Source organism: Homo sapiens, chromosome 3 (genome assembly GCF_000001405.40).
Source record: "Homo sapiens chromosome 3, GRCh38.p14 Primary Assembly".
NCBI classification, from domain to species: Eukaryota; Metazoa; Chordata; class Mammalia; order Primates; family Hominidae; genus Homo; species Homo sapiens.
Window position 1 is genome coordinate 98,130,202 of NC_000003.12, and position 10,260 is coordinate 98,140,461.

At 35.3% G+C, this 10,260-nt stretch overlaps 1 protein-coding gene across 1 annotated transcript; it reads left to right on the top strand.

Moving 5' to 3' along the window:
• Positions 1–519: 519 nt before the first annotated feature.
• OR5H1 (olfactory receptor family 5 subfamily H member 1) lies at positions 520–8,347 on the top strand. The gene is made up of 2 exons (NM_001005338.2): positions 520–649; positions 2,479–8,347. The coding sequence occupies exon 2, from the start codon at positions 2,497–2,499 to the stop codon at positions 3,436–3,438; it is 942 nt and encodes a 313-aa protein (NP_001005338.1). The 5' UTR covers positions 520–649; positions 2,479–2,496; the 3' UTR covers positions 3,439–8,347.
• Positions 8,348–10,260: the final 1,913 nt, after the last annotated feature.

Genomic DNA, 10,260 nt, shown 5'->3' on the forward strand with positions numbered 1-10,260 from the left:
GGGATCTAAATATATGTCTAAAATTTGCATGTCTGAAATTTGCATGGGAAGGACAATTGTATTTGAGGTTGCTCCCAAAGAGGATCTAGAACTTTGGCTTTATTAAAATTATGTTTTGGTTACTTCAAATAAGACTATACTAATTAAAGCACTAACAGTAAATTTTACATATAAACTAAAGTTTGAACAAATATGCCAGAAGTGTCATCCATGGTGGTAAATAGTAACATAAAGTGTTATTTCAATTGTTAAAACTAGAAGTGTCTACCATGAAATGATGTTTGTGATTCCAGAAGTTTGTAATGCCCTTGGGGACAACCTGAACTTACACTTGTGCAAATGCACAATGCCCATTAGAACAGCTTCAATTTGTCCTACAGGGAGTCCTCTGACACTGTTATGAGAATTTCAGTTTTTCATTCCTTTCTCTTCTGGCAAAAGACCCTAGTGGCACAACTGGGTCATTTATGTGCTCAAAGCATATTTAATAAACAACATTTTTCTATGCTTGGAAAAAGAAACCTTCAAAAAGAATGAATATGCCATGAATGGCTACCTGTATTATTGACATTGCTGTGCTACTGTATGTATTTTTGTTTAGAAAGCACAACGTGTTTAAAGGATATCCACAATTTCCTTCAATATATGGGTAAGGAAGAAATAACTTCTCTAATTTTTATTATAATTTATAGAAATGTTGATAATGCCATTTAATTCATTAAAATTTTAGATTGGGTAACAAGTTGTCATAATAGAAAGTCAGAAACTGGATGACTCTGACTGGACTATTTTTATATTTTAGTTTTATGACTCTAATATGGATAAAGAGTTATAAGACTGAATTTTTCCTTTAATATTTTGCTATTTTGTTAATCTTATTATGATGAGTTTATATAAATTAGGGCATTAAACAACTAAAACTTGGTTTAAAGATTCAGATAATAATGATTCTTAGAATTATTTCTTGGAATTATTCTGATATAAATACCCATTCCTCTGAATCAACCACATTCTCCAATTAAAACTTTTAAGGTGAGTCACTTACATATTAACTCCTGTATCCTTACACTCATGTTTGACAATAATTTGAGAGCTCACACTGTAAATTTTGTTGATGTGAATAAAGGTTGCATTAAGTAAAGTCCTGGTATTTTGGCTTTGGCTGCCTTGAAACCAATATCTTTTGTCCCTCTCTCCATATTCCAAATGTAGGATCAGTGTATTTAATTGGCCATCCTAGATCATGTCCCTTCACTTTAGATGTAAGAAAAATGGGAAAATGAGTTTCTAGTTCTTTTGGCAGTATGTTACCTCTGACAGCCACTATGATTTCGATGGCAAAAAAGGAGATCACACCTTGGCCATTTACAGGACATATGTCCACCTTGTTACCTCCTTAATATAACTTGCTCAAGTTGATTTTCTTGCCATTCCTTTTGGTTCTGTTTTACACTCCAAGGATGCATCATCTTTAACTATGCCTTTGACTGCCTTTGACTACCACAATGAATCCAAGCAATCATTTCTATTGAGCTCTAATAGGCTCATATTACTGATTGGAACACATCTAGTTGTCCAGATGATGCTCACTCCAAAAACTTGTCAGCACACCTGAGTTCTCAATGTTTAATATCCATCTTCCCAGTCACCAAGGGACTCCTCTCTCCTTCACTGACCACTTACTGCCTACAAAATATGTCACAGAATACTAGAGACTCTACATTCTGAATTCTTTAGAATCTATTTCTTTGTCTTACTGTCTCTTTCAATGTCATATCACACCAAGACCATACATTTAACATGCATTTGAATCCCCCGGAGGGTATTTTCAAAATGCAGATCCCCAGACCTAATTCCTTAAATAACTTCTACATTAAAACCTCATAACATATTTTTCATAAAAACTCACTCAGATAATTTTTATGTGTAATGTGATTTGGGATTGCCTGGGCCTTACTAACAAGTTTCTAATTAATATCCCTGAGTACAGTTTCTTCTTCTTGCAGCATATTTTCTACACTATCAAAAACTAAATTAAAAAAAATTAGGATGTAATTTCCCATCTTAAAATTTTTGGCACATGCTTATTGTATGAAGAATAAAGTTTAAGATACTTCACATGGCATTTATTTTATTTATTTTTAATTCAGACCGTACAAAAATCTTTCCTGTTGACATTGTATCATATGCCAGTCAAACAATTTTTCTACTGCACTCAATAGTGTCCATATAAATGTTGTGCATACAGAGAATGCCTCTTGTTTTACCTAAATCTGCTAATTACTGCACAGTTTCAAACCAAAATATATCATTTTTTCATGTCTTTATTGCAACAAATAGAGATTCATCAGCTATAGGACTGATCAAAAAATTGAGAGGGTTCTGATCATTTTAGGTTTTCCTTCAGCACCTCTTCCCCAATTTCAACTGATAATGCCATTGCAAATGTTCCCTTTCATTTGTTGCATTTTATTTTAGAGGGCATGCTGTGAGGACATGGAAGAGGAAAATGCAACATTGCTGACAGAGTTTGTTCTCACAGGATTTTTATATCAACCACAGTGGAAAATACCCCTGTTCCTGGCATTCTTGGTAATATATCTCATCACCATCATGGGGAATCTTGGTCTGATTGCTGTCATCTGGAAAGACCCTCACCTTCATATCCCAATGTACTTACTCCTTGGGAATTTAGCTTTTGTGGATGCTTGGATATCATCCACAGTGACCCCAAAGATGCTGAATAACTTCTTAGCTAAGAGTAAGATGATATCTCTCTCTGAATGCAAGATACAGTTTTTTTCGTTTGCAATCAGTGTAACCACGGAATGTTTTCTCTTGGCAACGATGGCATATGATCGCTATGTAGCCATATGCAAACCTTTACTTTATCCAGCCATTATGACCAATGGACTGTGCATCCGGCTATTAATCTTGTCATATGTAGGTGGTATTCTTCATGCTTTAATCCATGAAGGATTTTTATTCAGACTAACCTTCTGTAACTCCAACATAGTACATCACATTTACTGTGACACTATCCCATTGTCTAAGATTTCTTGTACTGATTCTTCTATTAATTTTCTAATGGTTTTTATTTTCTCAGGTTCAATTCAGGTATTCAGCATTGTGACTATTCTTGTATCTTATACATTTGTTCTCTTCGCAATCTTAAAAAAGAAATCTGATAAAGGTGTAAGGAAAGCCTTTTCCACCTGTGGAGCCCATCTCTTCTCTGTCTCTTTATACTATGGACCCCTTCTCTTCATTTATGTGGGCCCTGCATCTCCGCAAGCAGATGATCAAGATATGGTGGAGCCTCTATTCTACACTGTCATCATTCCTTTGTTAAATCCTATCATCTACAGTCTGAGAAATAAGCAAGTCACAGTTTCATTCACAAAAATGTTAAAAAAACATGTTAAGGTTTCATACTAATATCCTTTCTCTAATTACAAAAATAGTCACAAAATTATGCAAGTTAGAGGTACCTATGTTGTTTCCAGTGTTCAAACATTTTTGCAAGTACAACTGTTCTAGCACTTTAGTGAGCTAATGTTTTAGTACCTAATAAACTAATCGCAATATGTCTATATGTTATTCAAAAGCATTCAAGAAATTTTCATACTGTTCATAATAGAATAATGACTGTAGAAATCAAATAAAACTATTTAACAGTTGTATATGTTATTCAATGTGCATTTATAAATGCATTAATTGCTAAAATAGCCTAGTTTATCATATAAGGACTTGAGTATGATGGTTTTGATACTAATACTACTGAATTACCTGCGATATCCATCATATACCATAACTGAGGCAGATTTGTTTTTGAGTGAACAGAGGTAAGTCCCAATGATTCTGCTAACCATCAAGGTCTTCCATTTCATTATATTAGGAAAGGGTGAATTCTGTTTCTTGAAGGAAGTCAACTCGCAGGTCAGACAGAAATGGAAATGCAATGAGAAAAATAAAAATAGAAGGAATGAACAGTGAAGGCACTGCCATAGTGTAAGAGCATGCTCTTAACTCTATGTGCTCGTATGAGTAAGAAGAGGCAAGCTGCCTCTCACTTTCTAGGATGGCTTCTAAGGCCCTTCCCAGCTATGATTATATGATTTTAGACAACCTGGAAGCCTTCCCTAATTCAGGAAATTAAAAGATTAAATAGAATAACTGCATTTGGAGTAGACATAGAGAAGAAATAAGTATCATAAAAGAAAGAAAGTGGTCTTAATGTTTTTATGATGAAGCTACCAAGATGTGTAAAAATCAATAATATTGCAAGGTTGTTGGAATGTGTTGTTATCAACAAGAAGTTTTAAATGCCTGTCATGTAAGTTCAAATAATGTTAACATGATACGACATCATGGTGCCCAGCAAGAGGAAGCAAAAACAAAAAAATGAGGTAAGATTTTGGAGATTTTTTGCCTCGGAAAGTCATTGATTGTTAACCTTCTTAACACTTCTTGTACTTCAAGTATGTTAATCATCTTTCTACCAGTCCACCCTCTCCTTCATCTTTCAATACTGAAATTCCTTTCACATTCTCACTGATACTATTGAGGTCCCTAGCATAAAAACTACTCACATGTAGTTTTGCAAACCTCTAGTTACTTATTTCCTCCATCCTTCTAACAGTCACTCACTTCCCCAAAATGGCTGTTAGATTGTTTTTTCAAATGGAACTCTAACTAATTATATCCCTCTTCAATTCCTTTTGTTAGATTGTCATTGCTACCAGATTATATGCATGTATGTTTTAGGTATCTTATATCTATATGTATACATATGCATATGTTTAGTTTTTCATATGTATACATAGTGATACAAGATATATATTAGTACTTATATAGTTAAAATACAAATGTAGCAGCATTAGAATTTAGAGTTTATCTGAGGAGACTCGATTTATTTTGCAACACCAGATTGCATGTGGTATGGGGATTTCCTGAAGGTGCAAGAGAGGAGATAAAGGCTTTTACAGGGCAAATGTGAAAGTATGGCAAAAGTAAAGATTGTATTGGTTAAAGTGGAGCAGTAGTGTTATTTTGATCATTCCAGTGGAAAATTCCTAGTTAGAAATTAGCTGGGGTTTTTGGTTGGTTAAAGTTAACTTTTGTTTTACCATTTACAATGAGTTGGATTCCTGTTTGCTTAGGTACAAACCCACTTTGCTGGACCCACGTCAGCCTGATATACTTTTATTTAATTATTTTAACTCATTATGGTCAGCCTCTCATTATGGGATATTGACTAAAACTCAGGCATACTTGCACTCTCTGTGGCCAGCACAGCTGGTTTGTCTTTGTCTCAGCATGGAACTCATAAGTTACAATGTCTGGTCTCTTACAGAAGTGTTTCTTTTATGGACACTTCGTTTTTGTTATTCTAATCATAGTGAGAAAATCTGGCACAGTGTAGTGGCTACAAACTTGTATTTAAAACTCTTGAGAGAATACAACACACCAAGAAGATGACAATGACTATCACAAACATAGTACCAAGGGACTGGGGTATGCTCCATAGCCAAAGTACGTATGAACAAAACCAACTGAAATAAACCAAATGAAAATAATAAAAGGTTAATGGTTAAAACTACCTATAAGCTTAGCATGTGAGCCAGAGGGCAGTTAGTTGAGAAGACTTTTAGATTTAAGCTCAAAGCATCTTTAGATGATGAAATAAAATGGCAGTTGCAGTCTGATAATTTTTCTGTTTTTTAGTCTGAATGTCTTTTGTCATGTCATTGAATGTTTGGTGAACTTCCTGAGTGGGACACTAAGCATCATGCATGAAGATTATCCTCTGACATTTATATCAAGTTGTCCAGCCCTAGCTTGTAGCGCTTCAGGAATAGGACAGTTTCTAAGTAGATAATAAAACATCAAAGACAATGGACAGAACTGGAATTTAATTATGGGTGCGCTATATTTTTCTACTGAAACATGATTTTTCCCTCCATAATCAGGCCATTTCTTTCAAATGTAATTATAGTAAGACTAATTTATTTACCAACTAGATCTACCCTCATTAAGCTTCAAGTGAGTATTTACATAAGTGCAAGTTGGAATAGGAATTGATCATCTCTTTTTAAGAAGGCCTCATTACGACCTTTACTAAATAATCTCCGATTAGACTTTAAAGTTTCTTCAAGCTATAAAGTCACACCAACAACATACCATTAGTTTCACCTGCAACACTGATACATTTAGGTAAACTCCCCTGTACTCAAAAAGGTCCTAAAAGTATATTTCAGTTCCTGGGCCTTCCAGAGAGTAAGGTCTTTCTTCCTCTTTACCAATATGGCTAGAAAGCTTGTGAGCAGCTATCAGCCCAGATTTTCTAAAGGAACTGGCTGTAGTTATTTTTCTGATACCTGCAAATCTCATATTAAAATTTGATTCCAAATTCTGGAGGTGTCGAAGATGGGAGGTGTTTGGGTCATGGGGGTCGATCTCTCATGAATGCCTTGGTGCCATCATCATAGTAATAAGCATGTTCTTACTGTCTTAGTTCCCATGAGGGCTGGTTGATAAAAGAGCCCAGCACTCCACTCTCTCTCTTTCCTTTCCTCTCTCACCACGTGATCACCACACTTGCCAGCTCCACTTCGCCTGCTGTCATGAGTGAAGTAGGCTGAAGCTGTCATCAGAAGTGGACATTTAAGCCTTGTTTTCTGTATAGCCTGCAGAATTGTTCTCCAAACAAACACCTTTTACTTATAAATTACCCAGCCTCAAGAATTTCTTTATTGCAACACTAAATGGAATGAGGCAGGGCTTAATTGGATGCATAAAGTCAATTCTTAGTTTCTTAAAATTCTCCAGTCATATCTAATTTTATGCACATTCTCCAATGTGACATTCCAGTCACAGTAGTGGTAATATAACCATAATTATGTTATATTGTAATAACAGATTCTGATTAAAATTTTGCAAATACCTATATTGCAATCAAAATAAAAATGCTCAATGATGATTTCTGAATTCTGGAGAGGTCAGCTAAGGAGAAGAAGGTAAACGTATTAATTCTGTTTACAAAAGGTATACTTGGCCAGATTGTTTGCAAAGTTTCTTTAATTCTGGTCTCGTGTTGTGTTTCTAACGTTATCAGAAATCTTTACTTGTCAGAGCCTTTTCCGCAAATCTGTTGAGATTAGACAGATACTTTGCATACAGGGATGTTTCCTTTATGTTATTTAGTGGTATTTATTACCACACATTAACTAGAATTCTAAACTCTTAGTAACTTTCTTTTCTGGGATAGAAGCGATTGACAAATATACATCACACCGGCATTTTACAGATTGGCAAATCTACGAATATACAATTTCATAATTCCTAGAAGTATGTGCTTTCCCATTATATAATTTTTCAGTGTGCCACAGGACATGTTGAACACAAATATGAACACAAAAGTGAACCCAAATATCTTTGTTTCTTCTGTAATAAGAAGTCCAAAATAGAGAAGTGTATGTTCAGCAATTAGTCTTTTAAAAAAATGTTGTTTGGAAATAATCCAGATATTCAATGACTATTGATAATTTAATCAACTGTGTGAAACTCTAAGGGTTTAATTTACCACAGAGAAGTGGGAAGGTATTTTTAAGTAGACTTCTTATTAAACATAATTATGGTTTAAAAGTTCATTTATAAACGTATATTGTACTTACATCTATTTAATTCACTTATTCTGAATTGTTTGGTTTACTCATGAAAATTTCATAAGACATTAGACACAGCCAGTCATCGTTTCAAATTACTTTCTTGTTAACTACATTTACAGCACGTTTATGTCAGTGTAGCAGGACGAGCCGTGGGCAAAACCCCTCAGACACCGAGATAGTGAAGGGAGTGGCTTTAATCAGATGGGAGCATCGATAGGCTAGCGTCTTAAAATCCGAGCTCGTCAGGTGCTCAACTTCTGTCCCTTTTAAGGGCTCACAACTCTAAGGGGGTCCGCGTGAGAGGGTCGTGATCGATTGAGCAAGCCAGGGGGTACGTGACAGGGGCTGCGAGCACCGGTGGTCAGAGTGAAACAGAACAGAACGGGAGGTTTCACAATGTCCTACCATACGATGTCTGGAATCTATAGATAACAACAGTTGCTAGGTGAGGGGTCGAATTTTAACAACCAGGCTTAGGTCAGGCAGGCCCAGGCCTGGTTTCGGGTCTGGTTCCTAGACGCCAGGCTACCTGCCTTTAGTTTCACTTCTCTTTCCTTTTCTGAGTATAAAACAATATAAAACAATATGAGAGGGTCTCTCTCTTCCCTCATCAGTCAGTCATCATAAAAGCAAAAATCTAAAAGTCAAATATGTGTTTTTTTGTTTTATTGCCGTGCCTGATATATATGAAGTAAATGCCATTATATTTTCACATAGGTGTTTAAGTTGAATTGTTAGTTTTCTGACTTTAAACATCAGGCAGAGATAATATAAACTTACTTGACTCGTAAACTCAGATAATATAAAAGTTGTGTGTTTGTATTATATTTAATTCTGAAAACTCTAAAGAGATGTCTATTTTAATTAAACCAACAAACTTGAAATAGCTTTGACTTAACAGAGAATATCATAGATAATGTGAATCTGAAAAATATAATGGTGAATTTCTATCTTTCTGAGTTTAAGGAATCCTTAGTTTATATAAGCACATATTCTTCAATAAGCCAAATAAATAGAGCTCTATTAAAATTAGTTTTGCAGTACCATCCAAAGGTAGCAAAATGTCACACATACAAACATATATAGACATACATAAACATACAGAAAGAAGCAAATATTATAGTGTTCATTCTAAAATTGTAGCCATATGTCAGGTACAATAAGAACAAACTCAAGGCTGGGCACGGTGGCTCTTGCCTGTAATCCCAGAACTTTGGGAGGCCGAGGTGGGTGGATCACCTGAGGTCGGGAGTTTGATACCAGCCTGGCCAACATGGTGAAACTCTGTCTCTACTAAAAACAGAAAAATTAGACAGGCGTGGTGGTGTACCCGTGTAGTCTCAGCTGCTTGGGAAACTGAGGCAGGAGAATCGCTTGAACACAGTAGGTGGAGGTTGCAGTGAGCTGAGATCACTCCACTGCACTCCAGCCTGGCTGACAGAAGGAAACTCCATTTAAAAAAAAAAAAAACAGAAATAAAAAAAACCAAACTCAGTAATTTATAAGACTATCTAGACATGAACTGTGTTTCTCCTAGTTGGAACAAGTTAAGATGTCCTGTCCAGATGGTCAAAGCTTTTTATTAATATTTTTGGAAAGTGTTTTTACTATTTTTCTTTTGCTCCATTTACAAATGCCTCTTTTTTGTTCAGATGTGACGTGTCCTTGCAATTTGCTTGTAAAAGATAAAGCTCTCATGCCTTACAGTAAACATGTAAGAATATTTACATGTTAAGTCACAGTGCTTAGATTTCAGACTTAAATACCATCATTTTCCAAAACAAATAAACAAAAAAGAGTGTTGATAGAGACCTAATTAAGACAAGACAGCCAAGACAACCACCTTAAACAAAGGTAAGGTTTGTGATGTAGATTAACTTAATGCCTTCACCTTCTCCATTATTTAGAGATTTAGTCCTACTACTCTTCTTGGACCAGATATGTAGAACTCTTACAAATGGAGATTCCTTTAAATTTCTCTTCTAAAGAGAATCTCAAAAATAACCAAGCCAAAATAGTCTTTATGCCAATAGGTAAAATATTTTGGTAATTATTTGGCCCCATCATTCACATATCATTCCAGTTTTTGTTTTGTAACTACATTAAAGATTTCAGGGTGGATCTTATCAATGAATAGGACAAGGATTTTCTATGCCTGAACTCAACATAGATTGACCACAATGTTTTACAAATAGTACCTCTAATCTTGCCTTATATTCAGAGACTGGTTTGTCCTTTTTTCTTTGTTTGCATTACAGACAAGTGAGTTTTTGAAGAAATACTTTGGGGATGGATTCTAAGAGATTATTTCTTATTTCCTCAGCACTTTTGGTCTTTCCCTGGAAGATTGAGGGATTGGATCTTTGCATACCTATCTTAGGTATGCAACATTTAGCTTCAGCTACAGGCTTCACTAGGTCCCAGGATCATGTGAATAAACTGGTACAGGGAGTCCTAAATCATATGATCCAAGAAGAATTAGAAATTCCACAGAAAATGTCTGGGGCATATGTTTGGGCTGGATATTTTTCGCTATTGCTCTGAGCTCAGATTTTGATCAAGGTATAAAAATGGTTAAAGAAGGCAGGCC

Bases quoted from the DNA above. Each gene is read 5' to 3' on its own strand.
- OR5H1 (NM_001005338.2), top strand. From the start codon at position 2,497: ATGGAAGAGGAAAATGCAACATTGCTGACAGAGTTTGTTCTCACAGGA.